This window comes from Homo sapiens, chromosome 3 (assembly GCF_000001405.40).
Source record: "Homo sapiens chromosome 3, GRCh38.p14 Primary Assembly".
Taxonomy (NCBI): Eukaryota; Metazoa; Chordata; class Mammalia; order Primates; family Hominidae; genus Homo; species Homo sapiens.
The window spans coordinates 46,668,199-46,693,774 of NC_000003.12; the positions used below are offsets into that span (position 1 = coordinate 46,668,199).

At 58.0% G+C, this 25,576-nt stretch overlaps 1 protein-coding gene across 4 annotated transcripts, besides 6 other annotated features; it reads right to left on the reverse strand.

Moving 5' to 3' along the window:
• Positions 1–796: 796 nt before the first annotated feature.
• ALS2CL (ALS2 C-terminal like) lies at positions 797–25,481 on the reverse strand. Of its 4 annotated transcripts, none has more exons than NR_033815.3 (26): positions 25,445–25,481; positions 21,140–21,267; positions 19,900–20,098; positions 19,421–19,486; positions 18,785–18,950; positions 18,110–18,241; positions 17,327–17,446; positions 15,791–15,849; positions 15,584–15,650; positions 14,932–15,128; positions 13,831–13,896; positions 13,306–13,400; positions 13,048–13,209; positions 12,232–12,343; positions 11,012–11,089; positions 10,061–10,191; positions 8,651–8,824; positions 8,444–8,540; positions 8,047–8,204; positions 7,420–7,778; positions 6,368–6,541; positions 5,141–5,183; positions 3,942–4,003; positions 3,686–3,835; positions 3,290–3,386; positions 797–2,866 (listed from the first exon to the last, which is right to left on the reverse strand). NR_033815.3 is itself a non-coding variant. In NM_147129.5 (26 exons), exons 2-26 carry the CDS (start codon positions 21,240–21,242, stop codon positions 2,786–2,788), a joined length of 2,862 nt encoding a protein of 953 aa, NP_667340.2. In that variant the 5' UTR covers positions 21,243–21,267; positions 25,445–25,481; the 3' UTR covers positions 797–2,785. The 4 variants fall into 4 exon arrangements, 2 of the variants coding, with proteins under 2 accessions (NP_667340.2, NP_001177636.1); NM_147129.5 differs by having other exon boundaries at positions 7,420–7,488; positions 13,302–13,400; NM_001190707.2 differs by having other exon boundaries at positions 7,420–7,488; positions 13,302–13,400; positions 25,291–25,481.
• Positions 3,472–4,282: an enhancer, noted in NCBI's record as "H3K4me1 hESC enhancer chr3:46713160-46713970 (GRCh37/hg19 assembly coordinates)". NCBI's record gives its function as "activates a minimal SCP1, AML or CMV promoter by ChIP-STARR-seq in naive H9 embryonic stem cells {active_cell/tissue: H9 hESC(naive)}" and the evidence as "EXISTENCE:reporter gene assay evidence [ECO:0000049][PMID:30033119]".
• Positions 7,582–8,130: an enhancer, noted in NCBI's record as "H3K4me1 hESC enhancer chr3:46717270-46717818 (GRCh37/hg19 assembly coordinates)". NCBI's record gives its function as "activates a minimal SCP1, AML or CMV promoter by ChIP-STARR-seq in naive H9 embryonic stem cells {active_cell/tissue: H9 hESC(naive)}" and the evidence as "EXISTENCE:reporter gene assay evidence [ECO:0000049][PMID:30033119]".
• Positions 10,497–10,996: an enhancer, noted in NCBI's record as "H3K4me1 hESC enhancer chr3:46720185-46720684 (GRCh37/hg19 assembly coordinates)". NCBI's record gives its function as "activates a minimal SCP1, AML or CMV promoter by ChIP-STARR-seq in primed H9 embryonic stem cells {active_cell/tissue: H9 hESC(primed)}" and the evidence as "EXISTENCE:reporter gene assay evidence [ECO:0000049][PMID:30033119]".
• Positions 24,045–24,836: an enhancer, noted in NCBI's record as "H3K4me1 hESC enhancer chr3:46733733-46734524 (GRCh37/hg19 assembly coordinates)". NCBI's record gives its function as "activates a minimal SCP1, AML or CMV promoter by ChIP-STARR-seq in naive H9 embryonic stem cells {active_cell/tissue: H9 hESC(naive)}" and the evidence as "EXISTENCE:reporter gene assay evidence [ECO:0000049][PMID:30033119]".
• Positions 25,281–25,575: a silencer, noted in NCBI's record as "tiled region #4085; HepG2 Repressive non-DNase unmatched - State 10:DNaseD, and K562 Repressive DNase matched - State 4:PromP". NCBI's record gives its function as "represses a minimal TATA promoter and a strong SV40 promoter by Sharpr-MPRA in HepG2 and K562 cells {active_cell/tissue: HepG2 | K562}" and the evidence as "EXISTENCE:reporter gene assay evidence [ECO:0000049][PMID:27701403]".
• Positions 25,306–25,555: a silencer, noted in NCBI's record as "silent region_14291". NCBI's record gives its function as "represses an Ori minimal core promoter by ATAC-STARR-seq in GM12878 lymphoblastoid cells {active_cell/tissue: GM12878}" and the evidence as "EXISTENCE:reporter gene assay evidence [ECO:0000049][PMID:35858748]".

A 25,576-nucleotide genomic window follows, 5' to 3' on the forward strand; every position in this document is an offset into this window, starting at 1 on the left:
TTGACTGGTGAAGGGAGTAGTGGGCCTGGGGGAAGCAGGACTAGAGGTTGTATGATTGACTGCATGCAGGCCCGGGTGCAGTTGTGGGTGGGGCGGTTGTCCAGGGCCAGGGCTGCCGTCTAGGATAAGCAGGTGGTCCGGCTGTGCAACCTGGACACATCTGCTCACTGAAAAGGCCTTTGGCCCCTTGGGTATCTGTCATTCTCAGCCCCACGTCCTGGCCCCCGAGGGCAAGGCCAATGTGTTTGAGTCCCACTGTAGCCTGGGACTCAGCCCTTACAGGAGAGGAAACTGCCTGAGTCCGTGAATGGGCCGTGTCTCCCTGTGCCTCTCTCCACTCTGTCCCAGGTGATTGTGAAGTGCCATTTGGGATTATTAGGAAGAATCTTAGCACTTCCTCAAGATCACCACTGAAGAGAGAATCCTCATCCCGGGAAAGAGGTGGGAACTAGAATGGTGGAGGGACTGGAGCTAGGCCCTGCCAGGCTGCTCTGAACATCAGTGAGATCACTGAGGTGCTAGGGTCCCTGCTGGCCAACCCTGCCATCCAGAGACTGGGCACCAGCAGGCTCTCTGGGCAGCCAGGGGCTCCTGCAGCAGCTGGGAGAGGTCACCCTGGAATGTGGACTGGGTGGGTCTTCTGTGCATGAAGCACTCACTGCAGTGGTCAGGCTCATCTACAGCAAGGACTCCTGCCTGCCTGCCTGCTCTGTGGGTTTCGTTGTAAGGGTCTGATATAGCTCTGTCTGCCCTTGGACTCTTCCAGGACCCTTTTAAAACACTGCAGCCCCCTAGGCTCTGTCCAGATGCTCTTTTTTATTTATTTTATTTTTATTTTTATTTTTATTTTTGAGGCAGGGTTTCATTTTGTCACCCAGGATTGAGTGCAGAGGTGCGATCTCCGCTCACTGCAACCTCGACCCTCCAGGCTCAGGGATCTTCCCACCTCAGCCTCCCGAGTAGCTGGGACCACAGGCACACACCAACACACCCAGCTAATTATTTTATTTTGTATTTGTAGAGACAGGGTCTCACTATGTTGCCCAGGCTGGTCTTGAACTCTCAGTTTCCAGCAGCCTTCCTGCCTCAGCCTCCCAAAGTGAGCCACTGTGCCCAGCCAGAGGCTCCAGTTCCACTGGTGTTGGGTGAGGCCTAGTGAGAGGGTGGGCAGAGGGCCTTGTTGAATCTGAACTGCAGCAAGGGCTCGCAGATCTCAAAGGAGGCAGGGAAGTGTGCTGGGGTCCCGTCAGCATCGCATGAACTCAGGGATGGCTGCATTTGAGGCCAGGGTCAGGCTGTCCTCACTTATCAGGGGACAAGAGCTGGCTGATGCCGATTGGAAAGGATAGAATCCTAGTGAGCTGCCCCAGTCCCGGTAAGCATGAGTGCCTGCATATCCTCGCTCTTCCTCAGTTCCACCCCCTTCCTGGGGGTGTCACAGGCTCCTGGCAGAACCAGAGCCCATGCCCTGCATTTGGGCTGGCACATTTAGTGGAACCAGCCAGAGAAATGCTGTCCCTCCTTCCTGGGGAAGTGGTGGCAAACAGAGGCGCCAAGGCTCTCTCTGCCCACTGCCCACATCATCTCTGGGACTCTGCGGGTGCCCTCTGCCCCAAGGCTACTGCCAGGGACTCAGGTGTGGCTGGGCTTTCCAGAGCCTCCCTCAACCCTCCCCTCACAGGCTGAAGTCAGTACTTCGTTTGGGGGAGCCACACCCAGAGCCAGGAGCCTGACTTGCTCAGGGCCTAGGGAATGGGACCAAGAGTGATCCAGCTTCTTCTCCAGAGCTGCACCCTGCACAAATCCACCCTCTCCCTACGCTTTGCCCTGGACACTTTCAGAACACATCACACTGCCTGTCATCATGCATCTCCGGCTAGGGCAGAGGGAGACCGTGCACGTCACCCGGCACAATGTGACGGAAGATAAACTGTGTGGGGAAGAGAAACTGAGGCCCAACAGGAATAAAGCTGCCCCAAGACCCAGCTCCTGCCTCTCTTGGTCCCACACTAGAACCACTGTTTAAATAAAGTCCTCCCCTCCCAAAGGTACTCCTGCTCCCCAACTACAGCAGGGTCCTGGGTCCTGGGTCTGAGGGTTTATTGGTCAGGGCCCAGGCAGATGTCATGTGCCCCTGTTGTCCCCACGCAGGCCCACAGACATCACAGGAGAATGATTTACAAGCCACTTGGGGCCTGCTGGCAGTGAGGGTTTACCCACCCCCCGCCCCAGCTTGCTCCAGTGCCGCCGTTTACGTCATGGGTACGTGGCCTGCAGTTCACGGATCTCCAGGCCCATCCTGTTGACTGCATACCCAGTGAGGCTTCGAGCCTGCCAGAGGTCAATACAGCCCAGCAGACTAAAGTCAGTTTTCCAAAAGGACTCTGGAATTCAGCAAAATGAATGGAAGGTCCTTTACAGCGTACTCACTCCACCATTGTACAGATGGCAGCACTGAGGCCCGGAGAGGCTCTGGAACTTGGGAGAAAGGCTCAGGCTAAGAGAAGCCAGGGACTCCTCACCCCCAGCCTGTGAGCTGCTGCAGATTAAGGGGTCATTGAAGATGGGCTAGTGGCCAAGGGAAAACCACCACATCCAGGGCCACACCCGTCACCCCTCACCCTCATCCCAGTCAGGGCAGCAGCAGCATCTTCCTGTGCAAAACAAAATGCTCATCTCCTCCAAGAGCTGCTTCTGAGGGCCTGTCCTGCCCCTTGCCTTGGGTAATGAGGGACAGGCTGGCAGTGCCCTGCTCAGCTCTTCAGTCTGTCCAGGAAAGGCCAGGCTACCAGAGCTCCCTGGAGTGCCAGTGGCCAGGTAAGCGGTGCAGCCTCATGTCTTCTTTCTGGATGTGCTCGTAACAGGACTGGAGGGAGAGAGGCAAGGCTGAGGCCAGTTGACCTGCCTGATCCCAACCACATGCACAGGATCTAGGGCTCAATAGCTGTGTGCACCCACCTCCCAACCCAGAGGAGGCGTGTCTCCAACTCAGCCCTCAGCCACAGTCTGCGAGGAAAATGGGGCCCTTCCTCTCCCACTGTGCTTGGGAATGCAGCATGGAGCAATCATGGCCCCAGGGTCCCCAGGGCTGGGATGCACTGTGGGACCCCTCCCTGGCTCCTTTAATAAGAGCAGGATCAGGGACACTGTGAGGACCCTTCCCAGAGTCACACATGAGCTGTGAATTTGAGCTCCCTCCCACTATGGTGTTATGATGTCTGGGAAGGGAAAAGGGTCTGCCCCAGGGGCCAGGGCATTTCCACCTCGGTCCACAGCCCCTGTCCCTTACCTCCAGGGCTGTGAGCAGGAAGTCATACAGGCCTCCTGTGTGGTTGGGGTCCATCATGTCACGGATCAGGTGGATCTCGGCTCCCAGGTGCTGAATTCTGGAGAACACCGCCCCACCAAGAGAGCGAGGGAGACAAGGAGAAGAGGCCTGTCGCGGACAGGCAGCTGGGGAAGGAGCGCTGGCCTGGATGGCTGGACACCTGGGGTGTGGTCCTCACTCTACCTCTAGCACCCCAGCACCCTGGCTGGGACCCTCCCTTTTCTGGGCCTTGGCTTCCCCATCTGTACAGAGAGAAGCTGCATCCATAAACCCTGGGGTTCAGAGGTATCAGAAGATATCGTGGTTGGGGGTGGGACCCTGCCCCTGCCCTGCACCCCCAGCTCCTGACTGCCTCACCGGGCGCGCGACACCACGTAGATGAGAAGTGGCAGCAGGTCGTCCATGGGCAGCTTGTACTCCCGGCCCAATACCCTCGACACCGTGCCCTCAATTTCCCCGTATGTCCTCTCCAGCACCTCCAGCTTCTCCCGTGGGTCCACCGTGGTCCTGCAGCAGGGTAGCTGGCTCCAGGTCAAGGCCCTTGGTTCAGTCCCAACCAGGAGCACCCCACACTCTGCCTCCGGACCCCCAACCCACTACGGCTCACACTCACATGATCTTCTGCAGGCACTCGGTGGCTGACAGGAAACACTTGTCCCTGACCAGGGAGTACCTCTGCATGGTGGAGGGAGTGGGCTGGATGAGGCCATGGCCCCCCAGCTCTGACATCCCCTCCTTCCCAGGGCCGGGCCTGAGTCCCCCGCCACCCTTCCCTTCACTGCCAGCTTTAGTGCAGCCCCACCCTGAGGGCTGAGTGACCCAGGGCAAGTCACAGCTCCACTGTGGGCCTCAGTTTGTGCAACCATAAAACGGGGTGAATAGTCTCCATGAGGTTGGGAGGATCCAAACGGATAAGAAGATAATAATCATAACAGGCACTGGCCACTGGGTGCCGCCCAGTTCTGAGTGCCTATGTCGATGGTTCTCAAACCCAAGGGCTTAGTGAAACACAGGTTCCCGGGCCCACTCCCTGCATTTCTGACTCGGTAGGTCTGAGGTGGTTCCAAGAATCTGCTTTCCTAACAGGTTCCCAGATGATCCTGATGCTTCCAGCCTGGCAGGCACATTTTGAGAACAGCTGCCTCATGTGCCCACTTCACCCTCACAACAATTTTGAGGTGGTTCTGGCCAAGCGCAGTGGCTCACGCCTGTAATCCCACCACTTTAGGAGGCGAAGGCAAGCAGATCACCTGAGGTCAGGAGTTTGAGACCAGCCTGGCCAACATGGTGAAATCCTGTCTCTACCAAAAATACAAAAATTAGCTGGGCATGGTAGTGAGCACTTGGCAGGCGCCTGTAATCCCAGCTACTCGGGAGGCTGAGGCAGGTTAGTCACTTGAACCCGGGAGGCGGAGGTTGCAGTGAGCTGAGATCGCACCACTGCACTCTAACCCGGGCGATAAAGTGAGACTTTTTCTCGAAAAGTAAATAAATAAATAAATAAAATAAGAATTTTGAGGTTGTTCTAGTGTTGGCTCCCTTTTACTGATGAGGCAGCTGAGGCACGGTGCACGAGCCTCTTGCACACGGTCACACAGCCAGGTAAGAACCTGTGTTTGAGCCTGGTGGTTACAGGCCAACAGCTTACCTCCACCACACTGGGAGGTCAGAATGACAGTGTCTCCTCCCAACCCACCCTGCCCCTCCCCAGCTCCTCTGCAGCCTCCGCCCAGCAATCATGAGGCAAAGGGCTCCTCAAAGCCTGCAGGACCTCTGGGGGCCCCTGGCTTGGGGCTCTGGCCTCCCTCTCACCTGATTGCTCGTCAGCGTGAGGTCCTTGAGGGGCCACAAGTGCCTGAAATTGAAAAAGTGAGACAGGAGGCTCTGCCTCGACAAGGGGCAGAGTCTGAGGTCAGAGGGCAAATTCCCTATGCCACTGTTTCCCCCGGCAGATCTGGGTCCTGAAAAGGGGAAGGAGATCAGCCTAGGTCATGGGGAGGATGGAAGGATTCCTGGAGAAGGCAGAGCTCCAGAAGCTCCAGGGAGGTAAGGGCGGCCCAGGGGCTTGTATGAGCCAGGTCGTGGTGACCAGTAGAGAGGGAGGGGTGAGGAGACTGCACTCCATCCAGGAGGCTCTGCTGAGCCAGCACAGGGCTGTGAGCAGGGGGATGCAGCCCTCATGCAGCAGAGGTGGAGGCTGGTGTGGGGAAGCGACACTGAGGTGGTGAGGGAGGCGGGGCATGCTTGGGAAGCACTGGCAGCCAGGTCTTTAGGCTGGTGGCTGGTCAGATGCAGGACACAGTCACCAAGATAGAGGAAGAAACAGGGATTTGCAGGGTGGGTGGGAAGCACCATCCCTGTGTAACAAAGGAGACCTGGATGTGGGAGCAGAGACAGTGCCCGTGCCCTCTACTGTGGACAGTGGGGTCACTTGTGGCATCAATGGATAGATGGGACACTGAAGAGAAAGGACATTTTGGAGACTGAGGGTGGAAGGGAGGCCCTGGGGTGTGGTAAACACCTCCCGACATGCACCCAGAGCAGTCCTCAGTCTCCCCTGAGGGACCTCCTCTCCCCTACTCTCAGCCCAAGTGCTCAGAGCAGGTGATCTTGCCCCAGCCTCAGCAGTGGATATTCAGGCAGGCCTGGTCAATCACGGCTGGCACTCAGGGGTGGGCTCAAGACCCAAGCCCCAAGCCGAGCCAGTGAGGGACTTCAGGGGCTCTGAGGGAGCTGTTGGAAGGCAATGCCAGCTCCTGTGGGGACTCTGGGAGAGGAGCTGGGAGGGTATGAACCTTGAGCGGTTGGTGCTTATGGTGTTTGTCACCACAAGGGGGAGGCTGAGAAAGACCAACAGAAATGGAAGGTGCTTCCCTCTGTCATTCAGTTGAACACCTAGATCCAGCCACACCTGAATGCATAAGCTTAGAACTTGGTGGGTACATGAACCTATCAACCCCAGCCCCACCTTTTGGCTGAAGACAGTCTGAGTCGAGTTTGAGTCCTGGCTAACACGGCACGGGGGAAGGGAAGGCTTACTTCTGCACATCCAGGAACTCGAGCAGTTGGGTATCAGGAAAGAGGCTCAAGTTGGCAATGCCCTGGCTGTAGAAGCTGTCCTCCCGCTCATGAAGCAGCAGGTAGAGCGTGAAGAGCTCTGAGTAGAAGCTGGGCAGCATGAGGGGCAGCACCAATCCATGCACCTGGAGGTCCCTGATGGGGAGACCGGAACAGGTTGGGATGAGCAAGGTGGGGTCTGGGATTACTACTTGGAGTCTCGTCTCAAAGAGCTCCTAGTTCCACAACAAACAGTGTCCTGGCCTCCAGCCTCCTCCTCCCCAGAAAACCTTTTCCAAGCCTGTTCTCAGTCATCATTTGCCCAATTCAATTCATAACTTCATTCCCTCCTTTGACTTTGACAACCAAGATGGCAGGTGGGGCAGGAGTTGGATCCCCATTTGACTGAAAGCAAAACCAGGGCCCCAGATGGACCAGCAACTTGCAGCTGAGCTCTCAGCAGCCATTCCAGGCTGATTCAGTTCCACCTCCTGGTTTGCTGTGCTAGGACTCCGGGCGGGGAATCCTCCCTAATGTCTAACCCCATTTCCCTTGCCTCCTGCAAGGCAGTGACAGGAAGGCCTCTCTGATCAGGAACACTTTCAGGTCTAGAATCTAAAGGCAAATTGTAAGGTTTGCTCCAGGGACTGGGGGAAACAAATTTCATGCCCACCTAACTCCTGTATAACCTCAGGCTCATCCCTACCAGCCCTCGGTTTCCCCATCTGTGTGCAGGGAGAGGAGGGTGCCTCGGGGAGCTACTCACCTTCTGCATGCGAAAGATGAGATTGGGATCATACATTTAGAACAAAGATGCATTCAATGCATTGTAGCAGTGCCCCCTCCCTGGTTCCTCACAGAACAGAGGTCATGGGTCATTCTAATCCACAAACGATCAATGCACAATGTTTGGTCAATAGAGTGAATGCCCAGCACTTCCCCAGAAGCACCTCTTTCCCCAAGGGAGGTCCTAGGAGCAGACGCATGAGGCCTCCCTGGACACGGCAGGCCCCAAGGAGACCTGCGCCAGTCACCTTGTCTCTGTGTCTTCATCCTCCTCCAGGGCCTGGCCCTTGCGCTCTAAGGCAACTCGCAGCAGACCCCTGTGAGTCAATGAGAGAGAAATGGTGTGGCTGCCCCTTGCCACAGAACTGGAGTTCTACCACCAGTCAACAAAGGCAAAAGCAGGTGGCCTCTCAGAACTGTGGACATGGCCTGCAGGGTTCATCCTCTCAAACCACAGAAGTTAGAAGGTTGGAGCTCCAGGATGTTAGCCTGAGAATCCAGCAGCAGAAGGAACTATAGCATCTAAGGCTTCTATTTGCAGTGTTTCATGGGGTCACAGCCCAGCCTGGGACTGCAGGTGTGTTCCGAGTCCAGGGCCAAGCTCAGCCTACAGTGGGGTGAGAGTGCACCTGCGGTCAGAGTCAGCCCAGCGCCTGGTTGGGTCTTGGACTCTAGCTGAGGGCTGCAGCTGGGCCTTTGCTCTCACCTCCCCACCCTCTAACCCTTTTGCTCAGCAGCTGCACACTGACCAAGCCTCTGGTTCATTGTTGAATCAGACACTTGGCATTCCTCCCAAATGCAAGGCAGAACTGATGCCTGGAAAGGGCACACTAGTGTCACAGGGCAGTAGCTGTCCCGTTTGCCACCGAGCCCACCTGTAGGCAGCCCAGAGTTCCTGGGCATGCTGCTTCACCTCCTCCTGGGCCAGCTCCTGCAGGTGCTTGTTGGCCCCGACACCTGCGTAGGTAGCCTGGAAGGTCAGCATCAGTGTCCGGAGCAGCTTTCCCAGGGGGTGCAGTGAGTTGCTCAGAGCCTGGGCCAGTGCATAGGCAACAGAGAGAGACTAAGCACTGGGGTCTGGAGCACAGCATGCCCACACCAGCCTCCCAACACTTCTCCCATCTCATACACGAGAACACTGAGGTCCTCTGAGGACAAGGGATCCACAGGCCTGTCCCCTTCAGTCAGCACCCTGCTATGAAAAATGGGAGCCCTTCCCCACCAGGGACAGTGACAATGTCACCCCCTTGGCCACCCCAGCAGGGCTCTCACCTTCCTGAGGTACAGCTGCAGGGCCTTGGGCTCCCGGTGCTGCAGCAGCTCCTCCAGGATGTCTTCCATACTGCCCACACTGTCCTCAGGGTGGGTCCTGGGCACCACACACAGCATCCCTCACCCACACCTCGGCCCAGCCCCCTCCCCCCAGGAAGCCCTCCCCAGCCCACCCTAACCTGTGCATGCTCACACAGCCGGCCTCACCTCTCGCAGGACAGGTAATCCTGAGACCTACGCAGCTCCCTGGAGCTCTGCACGTCGAAGCCCAGCAGGGCCTCCTGCAGGTCCCTGGGGCAGCCAGCACACACAAAGTCCCGGAAGGGGCTGTAGACTCCCTGCCAGCGGCTTTCCACGGGGAAGGCACCCACGCCCAGCTGCCTGCGATGGGGATGGAGGGTGGGTGATGGGGCAGAGAGAGATGGAGCTGAGGTAGGCAGGACTCTGCCCAGGCCCTTGGAGGGGTGGGGGTATGAGCCTGGCCCAGGATCAAGCCCCAAGAAGGGTGGATGGATTGAACCATGCAGAGGGGGCTGACCTCCACGGCTCCAGGAGGAAGAGCAGCAGAGAAAGGGACAGAGAATCTACCCTGCGACGAGAAGACAGACAGAAGCATATGGAATCCTGGAAAGACGGAGACAGAAAGGTGGGCAGATCTGGAGGCCAAGCCAGAGAGGGGGTCTTGGTCCAAGAGAGACCAGTGTCCAAAGTCTGGGATTCCCCTCCAAGACATCCCCCTCTGCCCTCCCTTACAGCTGGTTCCTTCCTGTGGTTGATCCCGCCCTGGCCAACAGGCTGGGGCCTGGCTGCGCATGTCTAATGGAGCCCTGCACTCCAGTGTCATGCTCGTAGGCTACACGCAGCCCACACTCACACCCAGGCTGGGGCCTGCCCCTAGGGATTGCTGTCCACTCCCAGCTCCTGCTGTCAGGGAGAAGCAGCATGCAGGGACAGCGGGCCAAGTAGTCAACTGTACTCCCTCCCTACATCTGAAATGCTGCCTGGGACCACTTCCCATTAGAACTGCCACCCACACAGATTCCTTCCTCTGTGCAATACTGAGTCTTCCTCAACAGACGCAACAAGAGCAACTGTTTTCCAAGGAGGAACTCTGTTCCTACAGGAAAAGAAGTCTATCCTTCTCTGGAATACTCCTTGATAATGACTGTGATTCCACTTAGCAAGTTTCCTTCTTTACCTTGGCTGCCAGGAAACTCAGAGCCAGGCTCAATGATCAGTTGTAAATGCCGTAGGACATGTCTACATATCCCTTTCTTTTAAGGTTAACATATGCTCTTATTTTCTATTTTTTTTTTCCTGTATGTTTGGTTTGTAAACCGTATTGTATCCTTTCGAGACAAAAAAAAAAAAAAAGCAGGACCTAAGCAAAGCCTACAAATAATATTTCTCTCCAGTTTTGTGGTGTACCGCATTATATCCACACAGCCCCTGATCCCAAGAGTCTCTGACTGGAGTTGTACACCCTGGGCTCTCGGAACTCTCTAGAGGGCTAAGAGGTGGGTGCAAAAAGGCCCCTCTGAGGAGACCTGAGTCTTTGGGATGGAAACACAGACACATCCCCAGATAGGCCCAGAGCCAGAGGGGCCAGGCACTCACCTCTTGCAGGTACTGCTCGGGTCTGGTGGGAGGGCAGCCGTGTCCAGCACACCCTGTGTGTGCAGTCCTCTCCCTGCCCCACTGCCGAACGAGCCCTCCAGGGTGAAGCCATTGGGGAAGGTGACCTTGCCCTGGGAGCCAGGAGAAGGAGCAGGGATGTCTGTCTGCCCAGTTACCCTTCCAGCCAATCATGACAGGCCACAAGCCTGTCCATCAGTGTCAGAGAGGCTAAGGACTAATGAATGGGCTTCCCGCCATCCATTCAAGCTGCTCCATGCTGAGGGGTTCATAATCCTCTATGCCTGCCAGAGCCCCCCACCAACAGCTGTGCCCACGTCTCAGGGGCTCGCTCACCTCTGAGGTAGGAAGAGGAGAGAGATGCAGAAGGGACTCACAGGCAAGAGTGGGGAGACCACCACTGAGGGGCTGGGGTGGGGGTAAGCCCAGGGACAGGCAACGCCTGAGGAGGGCGGTGTCTTGCCACATGAGGCTGTCCCATTCATAGCAACCTGATCTCCACCCCTTTGCTCCAGTCATTATGAAACCAAAACAGCCCCTACATTTCCAAAGGCTCCAGCGGGGACACATTGCCTTTTCCTGGGTTAGCTCAGGGAGGCACACACTGAAGGCCAGTGCCTCCAGGGACAGCTGCTCGAGGCACTGGTACTGGTGGAGGGCGTGTATTCTGAACTAGGAGGGTATGGAGGGACACAGCCAGGAGACCACCGGTACCCTCTGGATAGCAGGCAAGGCCACTGGTCCCCTCTCACCTCACTCCAGAATCAATCGCAACTCTGTGGCAGGGTGGAGTTGCTGTGCCCACTCCTTGGCTCCAAGGGAGGTGGGACAGGCCCTCCCCTACCTGCCCCCAGCCCTGAGTCTAAGTGGGGAGATTACAGACACCAACCAAGGCCTTGGCAGGGTGTGGAGGGGGGCCTCAGTGGTCCTCACCTTCCCCATGAGGGTCAGGTCCCTGGTGAAGGTGCCCTCATACAGGGAGTCGTCTTCAGAGAGGAGGATGCCCGGGCCCTTGGGGAGAGGAAGCCAGGGAGGGTAGAAAGGGTGGGTGAGGAAGGGCCAGGAAACTCAGGGTGGAGAGAGATGGCCAAAGAAGGGAGATGTGCCCTGACACATGGCGAGAGGGGCCCTGAGCCTCATCACGCCCCACAGGACTGTACCTAATTGGGACTCTAGCCTTTGGCCTGCTAAGCACCAGCCCCGAGGACCCCATCCCTGGATTTCCCCAAATGACACCCTCCGCCCTGGCTCCTCACCCCAGCGGCTTCTTCAGGAAGCCCTTGGGAGCTCAAGAAATGTGGGGCTTTCTCTGAAACATCCCTGCTTCCCTGCTTGTCACTGGCCCTGGGAACGGCAGAGCTGACCAGGCTCCCTTGCCCCATGGGCTGCCGGGAAGCTCAGAGCCGAAAGGGTTACAATTAGTGTTCGGCTTATTTCCAAATCTATTTTGTGTACTTATTCTTCCCCTTGTCTTCCTCTTTCCTTGAAGGCCTCCTTCAATCCTTTCGAGAATGAAGTAGAGCATAAACAAACCAACAGACCATAATAACAGGAACAGCCATCAGGCCAGAGCCCCACATTCCCCAGGCACCTGGAAGGGTATGGGTGAGGCAAACATGGGAGTCCCAGGCTCGGCGGCCAGGCTCAGCAGACCAGGGTGTGAGTGTCAGCTCTGCCACTCAGTGAAGGTGACATGGAGCAGGTCCTCTGATCCCTCTGAACCTCTCATTTGTCATTCACTAGGGACACACTAGGGATAATAATGACATCAACCTGCAGGGCTCTTGGGAAGATCCCACAAGATCAGGGTGGGAGCTTAGCCCAGAGCCAGGTGTCAAGTTAGGACTCTGTGAATGTCAGCTAATGCATCATCATGAGCAAGTGCTCCATTCTTGTTAGTTCATTGAGTCTATGGTAAGTATTCTTAACCTGAGTTGCTGATGGGGAAACCAAGGTCAGGCAGAGCAGGGATTGGCCAGGGCCAGGGGAGGTGGGTGGTAGAGCTGGCTTCCTGCCCAGGTTCTGGCTCCCTCCAGCACCCAGGAACACAGCCCCCTTTCCCATCCCTCCCTGAAAGGCCTCAGCTCAGCCTCAGTGCCCCCAGCGGGAGTGGGGTGCAAAGAGAGGGATAGCCCAGGATACACTCCACTCACCACCGTCTTGTCCGCCTGGAAGGTGCCCTGGTAGCAGACACCTGCCTGGGTGACCATGACCCCTGGGCCGTGGCGCTGACCAGCCTGCCACATGCCAATGTAGCGCTCACCTCTGGAAGGAGAGGAATGTGGCCAGAGTTGGATCAGACTCATTCCCATGTACCTCCTGGGCACTCTGCTGGCACGGGGCGGCAGGGAGTGCAGATAAGGGGCAGTGACATCACCTGAATCCACTCAACAGACACAGTGCCAGAGAGGTCAGGACCCCCAAGAGGAATAGAGAATGGAGGAGGGAGGGAGGCAGCCTGGGAAGGGCATCTGGGAGGCTTCTCCGTGGAGGTGGCAGGAAGGACAGGGGGAATAGGAGTGTGTGCAAAGCCATGGAGGTAGGAGCATGTGATGGATACGTGGGGACTTCAGTGGTCCAGAAAGGCTGGAGGGGTGCCCAGGAGACGCAGCTGGGGTGAGGTCAGAGAAGCAGGCGAGGCTGTGATTGCCAGGCCAAGGATCCAGGGCTTTATCACACAGCCCAGAGAGCCAGCAAGGGCTGCAGTTTTTAGACGTGACAGAGCAGGGGGTCAGAAATGCCTCTCCAACACCATGAGGAGGGGTGAGGGGCGGGGGCGACCCTGCAGTCAGCGTGACCAAGATTCGCTCAGCCTGAGCCTCCGCAGCAACCGAGGGACTGGAGGGGAAGTGAGGGGCTTAAGAGAGACACAGTGGGGGACAAACAGGAGCCTGTGTCCTGCAACAATCTGGTCTGTGAGGGCCCGGTCCACCCCTCCGTCCTGGGAGTGGTGGCTGCAGGGCGCTCACCTGTCACCATCCTCCTCAATGCCATAGCCGCTCCTCTGGCCCCTCTCCCAGTGGCCCGTGTACCTGAAGGGCTGGGGGGCCTGCGGACCACTCTCAAGGACCCCAAATCCGTGCCGCAGGCCCTCCTGGAAGTAGCCCTTGTACACCTCGTCGGTGCTGTACCTGGGGAGGGCCATCAACAACGAGCTCTGCCTCATGGAGCTCAGCCCAGAGGATGGGCCCAGCCCATGAACCCCCCAGCCAGGGTCACTTACTCACAGATGCCGTAGCCACACATGCTGCCTTCTCGCCAGTGACACTTGTAACAGTCGAACTTGTCCTCAGAGGCCTGGGGCAGCAGGCGGATGCCGAAGCTGACAGCATGGTTGTGGGGGTGGGGATCAGCCCTGACCTGAGACGCCCATTACACCTACTCCATGCCACCCAGGAGTATCCCTGCCCCCAAGGAGCCTTCCAGACAACAGGGAGACTCTCAGAGGCCCTCAGCCTTCCTATCCTTCAAAGGGCCCCTCTCAGGACCCCTCCCTCCAGCCTGGTCCCGAGCACCTTGGAGCACCTTTTGGCCTGTACCACTCCCTCTGTGACCTCGAGCTGAGACGGGCCCCCTATTCAGGCCCCCGGTTCCCCTTTGGTACAGTGGGCGGGGGCTGGACCGGATTGTCTCTAAGTTCCTGCTTGAGGTTTGGGAATTCAGGATGGGGCCGGGCTGGTGACCACAGCAGGGGAGGAAAGCACCCTTCAGCCCACTGCACGCCTCCCAGCAGTAGCCCCAGCCAGCCTTACCCATGCTCCAGGCCCTGGCAGAAATTCCCCACGTGATTCCGCCCATCCGGCCATTTCAGGGTTCCCCTGGAACACAGTGGAGGTTCACGAGCCTCAGGCCTACCCACCCCTCAGCAACCTCAGCCACCTACTTTCTCAGACGCCCTCCCTTCCTCTTCCCTTGGACTGGGCTCCCTGCACCCACCCAGCCCTCTTGTCTGAGCTCCGAACATTCCTTGCAGAAAGCCCCTTTAGCCCTTTTCTACTCCTGGCCCAACTGTACCAGCAGCCTCATGGGGCACACTCACCACATCCCATAAGGAAAGCCCTGGAGACATCTAGGTTCCCTTTTTTCCCTTGACCAACAGGAAGCTCAGAGCTAAGAATCAAGCTCAAGTTTAATGCTGGTCTGTGGGGTTTCTACCACCCTCCTCCCCACTTCTGTGTTTTTTCTGTCCTTTTGTTCATAAGTCTTCTCGAGCCCTTTCTGAAAGGAGGCAGGGTATCAGAAACTAGCGGAGGTGCTTGAGAGTGTAGCCTTGTGAGTCCCTTCTGCTCTCTGGGTCTGTTTTCCCAGCTGTGGCATGGGGTGGGGCCACATGGTCTATAAAGGCTTGCCTGTCTGTGGGGTCACACAGACCTGTGATTGAGGCCGGCTCACCCTATCACTTGCCCTGAGACCTTGGGCAGGTTATGCCCATCACTAGGCCTCAGTGTTTGTACCTATGAAATGGGTAAAAGCACTCCATACAGAGCGTCTTCATGAGGACCGATGGAGATAGAATGTGTGCAAGCCATTTCAACACTGCCAGACAATGAGGTACAGATGTGAGAATTATTCTCCCACCCTCCTAAGAATGGAATGGCACCTGCAGGCTGTAAGGCCAGCGCGTGGTTGCTGCCCCTTGTCCTCTAGCGTCACCATCAAGACTTTATTTGGCACAGACTGTCTCTGGGCCAGGCCCAGTCCAAGAGGACTTAAGAGGGACTCTGAGAATTGACTGTCCACAGAGAGTAACCGCTCCTGGAACATGTCCTGAGACAATTAGGCTTGTGTGCTGCTCTCTGCCCCGCAGACCCCCAGGGAGTCCCACCTTGCCACCCAGAGCTCCAGCCACTCACTTGCCGTGGGGCCGGCCCCTGCACCACTCGCCCTCGTAGGTGGCCTGGCAGAGCCGGCCCTCTGCCTGGAAGGTATATTCTGCGCAGCGGCAGTCGGGAGGCTGGGAGGGCTCCAGGCCAGCCCCCAGCACGGGGAAGTCCTTCTTCCCATGCAGGGCCTGGTGAACAGCCCAGGTCACCTTCCACTGCCAGACTGCCTGGTGGGAGGGGGAACATGGGGAAGGGGATCACTGCTGCTGGAGGCTTTCCCTCCAGGAAGCCTTCTGGGGTAGCTCCAGGTACCACCCCCTCCACCCTCCACCTCCTACTCCATTTTGTCACCTTGGGGACCCTTCAACTGCTTCTTGCTACTCTCTGGGCCCTCCACCCAACCTGAGATCCTCCTCTGCAGTTTCAGGGCCTGCCCAGAGGGGCCAAACAAGACCTCAGGGCAGGGATCAACACAGGACCCAATTCTGTCTTTAGAAAGAAAAATACCCTGTTCTTTTTGACATTCTAATTCTTGACCCCGATTTACTCTGACCAGGTCCCCAGAAGCCTGCCAGACACTCGCCGGCACTCCTGTGGGGCCCTGCAGGGTTGCATACTTCTGCCCTCTTCCTACCCTGTCCTCTGACCCCGCTCCCGCAGTTCACAGCTCACCCACACTCACCTGGCCCTGGGAGTCCTTGGCACAAAAGGAGAACTCTTCTTCGGGCGTGAGGAGGTGAAACGTGCACCTAGACAGACGGAGGTGATGAGTAGGCCCCAGCTTTGTCCAGGAGGGTGGAGGGGCCCAAGCCAGAGTCCCAGGGTGTGGGCAGGTGTCATGGGGGTAAAGGGAAGAAGGCCTGGGGTGTCAGCCGAGGGGGTTGCTCACCCGTCCTGCCCAGGATCCACCCACACCAGCTTCAGATCAAAGGTGTGGACATTGTGGCCCTGGAAGAGGATGGACACAGGAGTCATCCAGAGCCCAGGCCAGATGCTCACCTACCCTCTGGCCAAGGCTTGCCCCAAGCTCAACCTTGTGTGGCCACCAAGGCTATTCTGCCCAGCATGTCCAGGACTGAGTCCCTCTCCCCTCTGGCTTGCTCCCCACCTCAGGGACAGCTCCTCCATGTCCTTTCTACCCCAGAGCTTGGCCAGGAACTCAGAACCAGCCTCTAGCCCCCTGTGGCTACCAGAGTGGTCTACAAATGAAGCTGGGACCTGGTCAACCCCTGCTGGAAACCTCTCTATGGCTCCTACTGCCTGGGGGTTGAGACACTGCTGAGCCTAACATTTAAGACCTCACAGACCACTACGCCATCAGGGCCACTCCACAATCACACCTTCATGAGCTTGCCCCAACCTCTCCTCACTGTGAACTTTTGCTCATACTGTTCCTTCTACCTGGAATGCCATCCTGCTCTGACAGCCAGAAAAAAAGCCCCTTCCTATGGGAAGATTTTGTGTAGCAACTTCCTACCCGGCCCAGTCAGGCCAATCACTGCTCCATACCAGAATGGGGAGGACGTGGGAGGCCCAGGCCTGAGGGGTGAGGAGGAGCTTGCCAGCCGCAGGCCAGGGACAAGAGATGGCCCACCAGACACAACAGCATGTGCAAAGGTCCAGCGTCAGGAGAGGGCTAGCACAGGGAAGGGACAGTAGCTCATCAGTGTACCTGGAGTGGAGTGTGAAGTTGGGAGTGGAGGGGAATTCAAACTAAATCAGAACCAATCCCAAAATCAGGCTTCAGGGGACACAGGTCTAGGCTGGGCAGCAGCTTCCTGCCAGGCCCCGGCCACCTGTCTGCAAGGGGGTTCCAGGCCAACCTTCTAAGGGGTAGAGAAGACTGTGCTGTGGACCTCACCAGGACAACATGATTTCAGGATGGATGAACCACAGTTGGTGACTGGCCATGTAACAATTCCCAGCCTCAGGCCTGGCTCCCTTCTGACTTCCACAATGCTGAAAGCCCAGGCACTGCTCCTGTAGGGTACTTTTCTCTAGAAGCCTTCTCATCCAGCCCTCCTTAGTCACCCCTCAGTCACCCATGACTTTCTGTCTGGGGTTCCTCTCTCATTTGAGTACAATGGGAACTAAGAGTTGTCTGGTGTCTACTGTAGAACAAACTCACTCACAATGACCCCCACATTCCCGATGGGAAAACGAAGGTGAAGACATGTAACCAAGGACACCAGCTGGGAAGGGCTGAAGCCGGGACAAACCCTGGACAGCCTTTCCCCTCAGCCCATGCTCCTCTGGGGACAGCTCCAGTGGACCGCCCCTCCCCAACACAACGCCTTTCTATCCCTGACCATCCCTCCCAGCCCACTTTCTCAGTCCCAGCAGCATGCCCCTTTACTGCTCCTTTTCCAGCCAGACCCCAGAACCCTACTGTGGCCTCAAGACCTTGGGTCAGCCCCACCCCAACCTGCAGCAGGACGAGGGCATCATCAAAGAGCAGCACACGCTCAGCCCGCAACGGTGCGACCGTCACGGGTACGTCCTGGCTGTCCTGAAGGAGTCTGTGAGCAGGGGTGCAGAGCACATCCTGGTGGGGCAAAGAGGACAGTACAAGGCTTAGGCACCTCTGTCCTGCAAGCTGCCTGCCACTCTGCCACCTCCCAATGTACCCCAGACACCTCCCAGAGGCCCCCTCCAGTAGACCTGGAGCGGACCCTGGGTCAGAGATAGGCAGAAATGCACTGATTATACATTCCTGGCTCTCTTGAAGCTTCAGTGTCCCCTCCCACACCTCTGTGCCACGGCCCCAGCCATGCCCCTATCAGTCCTCTCCCAGTACTCGGCCACCCCTGCCTCCCTTCCACAATTCTCGTTCCTCTACCTAGTCTCCTAATTCTCCACACCAGGTCCAAACCTCAGGGCACAGGGGACTCTCCTCCCTGCAGGGGCAGTCCATGCCATGGTGGGCAGTGACGCAAGGGTGTGATCGGTGATATCCCCAGGGGAGAGGACTGGTTCTGCTGATTGCCTCTTCCCTAGGCCGGGTCAGGGCCTGGCCCAGGACGTGCTCAGCAGACAGATAAGAATGGCTGGACAGAGGGACCTTACAGCCACCTGCTTCAGCCATCACTCCCCCTTCCATATAGGGAAACTGAGGCCCAGAGAATACAGCAAGCAGCTCAAGCCCCCCAACATCTCCATGCCCAATGTGGAACCCCCTCCCTAACTGCCCCTCAGGCCCCCAACTCACCCTCAGCCGGCCTCTCAGGGTGTGCCAGAGAGCCTGTGTGGCCACAGCCTGGTCCAACTCCTGCTTCATGAAGGACTGCAGGTTCCCAAAGAGGGTGACTGCGTTCACCACCAGCTCCCGGGTTGGGTGATGCTGAAGGGGGACAGGGCAGCCAGTGAGAGGAGAGCTTACTGGAATCTTCCCTAGCCCAGTCCTGGTCCCGGCTGGTGGGGAGGCCTGAATCTAGGCCAGACCTTGCCCTTCTCTCCCTGACAGCTCCTCTTCTGCTGGTGGGGCAGGGGGTGGAATATGAAGGTGCTTCCCCAGCTTGGCCCTGGGCCCACGTGTCCTCATTCCCAGGACGTGATTCTACCCCTGCTCTCTGGGTCTCTGCTGGCTCTACCAGGGCAGGGCCACGTGCCTCAGACACCGCAGGGAAGGGCAGTGCTTTCACCCACTAAGATTCCCTAGGACAGAACCATGTCTTCGGACCCCCTCCTCAGGGCTGGGCCACGTCCCCCATGTCCCCTGAAAACCACAGGACAGGCCTGTGACTTCCTCAACCCTCTCCCACCTGCCGGCATGGCTGAGTCCTTCTTGTACTAGGGTTCCTGAGTATAGGCTGAGCCCCCTGAGTCTGGGCCCTATCCCTCCCTTCCCTCGGCTTCCCCACATGCTGCTGCCCCTGGTACCCACCTCCCCAATGGTGTCCCCGAGGCTCAGCAGGAGGAGCACGTACTGTTGCACGTGATGGGCGAGTGGCTGGTGGAGGGCCTGGCCCAGCGATGCGCCCACCGAGCCCTCTGAGCTCACACCTGAAAGCAGCTGCCGCAGCGCCTTCCGCTGGCCCCGCCAGTACTCGCTGCGTGTAGAGAGGGCCACGCACCACCTTCACCCCTTCCTCCATTCCTGCACCCACACCGCCACCTCCCTGCCCCAGCTAATCCCCTCAGATCCCAGGGCCAGCCCCAGGCCCAAAACCTCTACCCTATCAGATCAACACAGTACCTGAGTTGCCCTCACAGGTTTAAGAGCAATATCTCAGAGTATGAAGGGATTGCTGATCACAACCATCCACCCTGAAGGGATTCCCCTCCTTCCCCGCCCCAAGGCCAGCCCAGCTAGAGCGGGTCTGGATTCTGTTCCTGGCCTCACTGGGCCTTCCCTGTTTCTCTTCCAGTGTGGATCAGTGCAGATTTGTAGAGCCAGGAGTCCTCCAGGATGAGTTGTGGGCTGTGACACCTGCTGCTCTGGGGAGGGGGCTTCCCCGACCCCACCCTCACTCAGGCACTCCCACCCTGTCAGGGGCCAGTGCACCAGCCCTGTGCTCACCTTCTCCTCTTTGCTGCCTTCTGGAAGGCCTGCACCACCATGCAGCTTGTGTAGGACTCAATGTACCTGCAGGCAGCACAGGGGACACCCTGCAAACCCAGTCCTCAGCCCCAGACCTAAGCCCCTGGTCCCTGGGATCCCCAGATCCCACCCACTAGTCAGCTGCAGCCCTGAGGGCCCACACAGTGGCCTGGCTCTGGGCACTGGAGACCTCAACTCCTGGGCCAACAAGACAATTCTAACATACAGTCTGTCTTCCCTGAGAGGCCCCAAGCCTCAGGTCTGGAGTGTCTGAGCCTGCTGTCAGGCGAATACCCAAGCCCAGGTGAGGCTGAACCCAGGTGAGCACCAACCATGGACTGAGCCCAAACCTTTGCTTGAACCCTGACCCATGTGAGCCCCAACCCCAGGTGAACCTTAATGCCAGGTGTCACTCTGACACCAGGGATGAGCCCCAGCCCCACCTCCAGTGGTCTTACTCTATGTGGGCCTGCAGTACACGGTCAGCACCTCGCAGCAGCAGCAGGGACTCCAGACCGGTGGAGTCCGGGTAACGCAGCCTCTCCTGCAGTGAGTGCAGGCTTTCCTCCGTCACCTCCCAGAGTTGCTGGGAGCTCTTGTGCAGCTGTTGCAAGAGCCGCAGGCACTCTCTGCCCCAGGGATCCGAGGGATCTGGGGCTGGGGAAGGAGTACAGTCACACTGTGAGTAGAGGACGTGGGCTCCATCTCCCAGGGAACATGCACAGGCCCCAGGTGTTCACATGAGAGCCACCAGCACCGGCCAGCCCTGGAGCTGCAGCAGGGTCTGCATCCCTGGGATCCGCAGGACAGAATTGGTGAACCCTAGAGCTGAGCAGGGGAAGGGCAGGCTGGAGCAGTGGGCAGTATCCTCGAGGAGGAAACAGGAGACACACCCACTCCTCACTAAACAGGGACAACCCTGACAGCCTCAGGGAACTAAGTACATACACGAATTCCCCCCTGGCTCTGGGCCTCCTCATCCTGGACTACTCAGATCCAGAATGTGAAGTCCACAGGGTCACACAGTCCTCTGCCATTTCACAGATGCACAGAGGCACCTGTCCAAGGCCTCACAGGTGAGAATTAAACTGGAAGTAAAACCTAGGCATCCTGTTCCAGTCAGTCTTGTTCCCCTCCCGGCACCATCAGGTGCCCTAGGTGGGAGCAAGATGAAAATTCAAGCAAAGGGCAGTTTCCAGTTTTTTACCCTGGGAAAGGAGGAATTCCATCTCTTTGTACAGCCTGGTCTGGGCTACAGGTAGGTTCATGGCCTGGCCCCTCAGCGTTCCTTTAAAAAAGGAGCAGTCAGACTTGGCGCAGTGGCTCATGCCTATAATCCCAGCAATTTGAGAGGCTGAGGCGGGCAGATCATTTGAGGTCAAGACTTTGAGACCAGCCTGGCCAACATGGTAAAACCCGTCTCCACTAAAAATATGAAAATTAGCCAGGCGTGGTGGCAGGCACCTGTAATCCCAGCTACTCAGAAGGCTGAGGCACAAGAATCGCTTGAACCTGGGAGGCAGAGGTTGCAGTGAGCCAAGATCGCACCACCTGCATCAGAAGATGCTGATACCAGGTGTCACCACTCCTATTTGAGGTTGAGAAAGCTGTGGCTCAGCAAGTCCAACAAGGTAGGTCTCCTGTCCCTGGGATCATTCCTCGGTGCCCTTCCCTCCCCACTAGAAAGCCTAGACTCACCGGCTGGGAGCAGGGGCTGGAGGACAAGGCTGTTGACATGGGCGAGGGTGGCTGAGAAGACCTCCTCCAGCCGCAGCAGAGCTGCCTCCTCAGGGTTGCACATGGCCAGGTGCCGGACTCAGGGCCTCCTAGGTAGGGCACAGGTTACAGCTAGATAGCACAGACAGGAGCAAGGCCAGTGCCCATCCTCTCAGGCAGGGTGCCCAGAAGCAAGGTCCATGACCACCCACATCAGAACTGAGCAGTGAGCCCAGATCGCCTCAAAGGGGAGTTCCTGGACTGGCCACTGACCTCTGCCCTGCTCCCTGCCTAGGCCCAGCTGAGGGGTCCCTGAAGGAGAGAGAGAGCTCAGAGCTGCCAAGGGAAGCAACCCTTTCTTCCCCAAAGGGTAGATGTTCTTTAAGCCCAGTTTGGCCTGCTCATTCCTCTGCTCAAATATCCACCATGGATCCCAAGTGCCCAGGATAGTATTAGTAGTGCCCTGGTCTTAGCCTCCTTTCCATCAAGTCTCCCTTCAGGGATTCTGCAGTCTCTATAAACAGGGTCATACTGTCAGAGGATCCCAGCCCTGTCCTCTAGCCCATGGTTCGGGACTCCCTGTCACCCAACCAGGCTGTGTAAGCAAGGAGAGTTTTGGAGGTATGGGGGAGTCCGGAGGCCTCCTGCTAGAGCCACGAATGATGGGCAAGAAATGAAAAGGAAGACAGGACCCAGCAGGCAAGTGGAGGAACCCTGAGAGTAAAGGCTCATGGGTGTGAGGGCCCAGCCTCTGAGGGCAGCCCACCAAGCAGCACCCCAAAGGACCACAGCTTCACTGTGCCTCAGTCGGCCGTGGACAGCCATGGAGGACTTTAGAGCAAGGTAATGATGGGATCCAAAGTCACATTTGGGGAAATAAATGTATGACAGTTGTAGAGGAGATAGTGCCAGGCAGTGAGAGAGAGTTCAATGTGGATGGGAGCCTGGACCCTCCATGGTCCCCTAACCAGACAGAGGGATCACTGATCACAACCATCCACCCTGAAGGGGTGCCTGCTGGATGGGTGGGGGCCCTTGGGGTGGGCAGGTGGGCTTGAGCCTTGAGATTTCCTGCCCTGGAGTGAGGGACCTTCCAATCAGGCAGGAATCACCTGGGAATGCAGTGTCCTGCCTAAAGGGAGGGGTGAAGAGAGGCCTGGGCTCAAACCTACCCCCACAGCCAGGCTACAGGCTCTACTCCAACAAAGCCCTCCCCTACCAGACCCTGGTACCCTCACTTGGCAATGTTCATCTGCCCAAATGACCTGATCAGGTATCTGGGGCGGAGAGTTAGAGGGTCTTTTAGCCCAAGACCCGCAGACTGTCTCTCTCCTTGTCTCTGACACGCTGAGGCTTTGGAGTTAGCCAACCTGTGTGGGGCAGGGGACAAAATCAGGGCAGCCAACGATGGGCAGGTGACACAGGCAGACCCAAAAGGGTGAGTGGGAAGGGGTCTCAGCCCTCCCCTCTCCACCCTGCCCCGAGAGTGCCATGCGGGCATCCCAGGCCCCTGGCAGAGCCTACAACTCCCAGGGAATTGGCTCTGGAATGGAGTGGGGCGGGTCCCTCAGAGCTCTGGCCAAAGGCCCAGGCCAGGCATTCCTGCCCCACCTTTCCTGCTACTGCTGCTTCGAGAGGGTGAGGCTGCAGAGAGAGAGGCAGGAAGGGGAAGCCACCAGACACCCAGCTGCAGCTTCTGTGCTGCAGCTTCTTCTCCCTCTGTGGGCCCCTGAGGCAGACCCAGGCCCCCAGGACACAGGGGGCTCCAGGTCAGCTCAGGCAGACAAGGAAAGCCCAGCCAAGGGAATAGGGGTGCAGCCAGGCCCACCTAACTCTCACCCGTATCTCCCGAAACTGCTGGAATGGAAAGGCGCTTTGGGGGTGACCTTTTCACTCTCAGCTGGCAGTCAGCTGGGGTCTAAGCTAAGAGGTGAGGATATCCAAGCCTGGTTGGGAAGGTAGAAGAAAGGGTGAGGCTAGGATAGGAGATGCAGACTAGGAACCAGATCAGTGCACGTTGAAAAGATACTGCAGTAAATAACTCGCTGCTAGGAAGACTTGAACACCAACATCCCTACACTCTCCGGGGGGCCAGCACCATGACCCCAGCCGACACCATACCCTGGCAAGGAGCTCTCTGACCCTAGAGATAGCCTCTCCTCCTCAGGCTTCCTGTCCCTCGTCCCCACTGCCCAGTCTCAGCTGCTCCCCCAGGAGCAGCCCTCACCTGGCTGCTCAGCCCTGGACATGCTTCAACTTATCCACAGCCTTACTCCTCTCTGTACCTCAGCCACCCCTCTACGAAATGGGGGTTCAACCAGATCACAGCATTTTTTTCTTTTTATTTGTTTGTATTTCTTTCTATTCTTTTTTTTTTTTTTTTTTAGAGATGGGATCTCACTATGTTGACGAGGCTGGTCTCAAACTCCTAGCCTCAAGTGATCAACCCATCTTGGCCTCCCAAAGTGCTGGGATTACAGGCGTGAGCCACTGCGCCCAGCCAAAGAGGATCACAGCTTTTCAAACTACTTAAGTCTCCCCTCAAAAGGACAAACAGGTGGAAGGGGGCTTCTCTGGGTGTGGGGATCTGGTCCTTAGACTCCCCACCCCACAAAGCAGCCTATGACTCCGGGGGTGAGTCCTCCAGACTCAAGTTGGCAACTGTTAATCTGGGAGTCTTCCACATCTGTGGCCCCAAAGGGATCTATAACCCTGGGAAACTGAGTCACACCACCCAGAGGAACGGGCAGAAGTTAAGCATGGCTGGTGAGGCAGTGGGTTGGGGGAAGGCCGCAGTGGAAGCTGGGATTCTGGTTAGGTGACCCTGAGGGACCCAGCTCCCAGGCTAGGGAGTCTGGGGCTTCATCCTGGAAGTGATGAGGAGAGTGTAAGTGCAGGGGTGAGGCAGCGTGAATGTGCATGAGTGTGCACGTTTGCAGGGCAGGAGGAGGAGGTGCTGAACCTTAATATGAGGAGGATCCTGCAGGAGTACCCCCCTCCCCAACCCCTGTCCCATCCCTAACCTTCCCCCTTCCAGTCAAGGGCATAGCTTCCTCACCCTCTCCCTCCCTCCAGTTCAAAGGTTCCTTAGTGACAGGCTGTGCCTAATGTACAGATGGGGAAACTGAGGCCCAGGAACAATGGGAGGGTCCAGAGACCCTTGTGTAGAACTTGTGCAGGGCTCAGACCCAGACTTCTGGCTCCAGCCCACCAGGTTCACCTAGCTAGATGGCTCAGAGAGGGTGGGCAACTCACCTGAGGCACAGAGCAAGATCCTGACGGGCCCTGCCTCACAGCTGTCCTCAGGCAGCCCTGATGCTCACCACGGGGTGCGGTGGGGTGGGGCAGGGTGAGGACAGAACTGGCCAGTCACGGCGTGCCCAGGTGAGTCAGCGGCTGCCCCTGTGGCGCTCTAACCAGTAGCCAGACCTGGTCTCTCCTCTGCATTCCTGGCCTCTGTCCACGCTAGGTCCCTCCCGGGCAGGGTCACTGGGGCCTTCCCTGTCCTCTCCCAGGCCTGGCTCCTTAGGCCCCTGACACACCTTGTCGTGACACTCACTCACTCTGGTATTTCCTGGTCTGAACAGGCAGGGAAGTTCTGCCTGCTGTGGAGGCTTTTTCATGGGCTGCCGTGGCAGCCCCTTCGTTGTCTGGTGCCCAGTGGGGGAGAGTAGAGACACGCACTGCCCCAGGGAGGGGGCGCTGAACTGTCACACCTGATCCCTCAGTCTCATGCTCGCCTCTCCCCGCTGCACCCTTCCTCGGCCCCACCATGGCTACAAGCCTCTTGTCCTAGACAAGCACCCCTCCCTGCTGTCGCATATGTCCCAGCTTCCCTTCCTCTCCCTGCCCAGGCACACACTCAGTCGCTGGAGTTTCCCAGACCCGAGCTCCTGTTCCGGCCGCCAGGCATTTGCCATGCCGCTCCCATGCGAAAAGGCCACCTCCTGGAATCCCGGGTCGGGCCCTTCCGCCCTAACCAGCCGGCGTCACCTCCTCCTGGCAGTCTCTCCTGCTGGCTGGGGCCCCGTGGCCCTGCCACCACGGCTCAGGTCAGGCCCGGGGCGCTGCCCCGAACCCAAGCAGGCTAGCAGCCAGGCAGGGAGGACGACGCTGTGAGCGGGGTATCTTACGAGGGACTCGGACGGCCGGGGGATGACTGCCGCCGGGACCAAGGAGCTGGGCGGGGACCGCAGCAGCCGAGGAGGCGGGAGCCCCCACCTGGACGAGCTAAGCGTGGAGCGCAGACACCCGTCCGCAGACGCGCGCCCTTCGTCGCGCCCTTACCTGAGCGCTGTGGTTGCCCCGCGCCGGGACTGCCTGTGCGGCTCCTCGCTCGCACCCCCACCCTGCCCCCTGCCAGTCCCGCCCCCTGCCAGCCCCGCCCCCTTCGCCCAGCCCCGCCCCGCCCCGCCTCCG

Excerpts from the sequence above, each read along its gene's own strand:
- ALS2CL (NM_147129.5), bottom strand. The coding sequence starts at position 21,242 with ATGTGCAACCCTGAGGAGGCAGCTCTGCTGCGGCTGGAGGAGGTCTTC. Across the intron at positions 19,487-19,899 it reads GTACTGCAGGCCCACATAGA|GTACATTGAGTCCTACACAA; the intron begins GTAAGACCACTG and ends TGCTGCCTGCAG. Across the intron at positions 18,242-18,784 it reads TCGGGGACACCATTGGGGAG|CATCACCCAACCCGGGAGCT; the intron begins GTGGGTACCAGG and ends GTCCCCCTTCAG.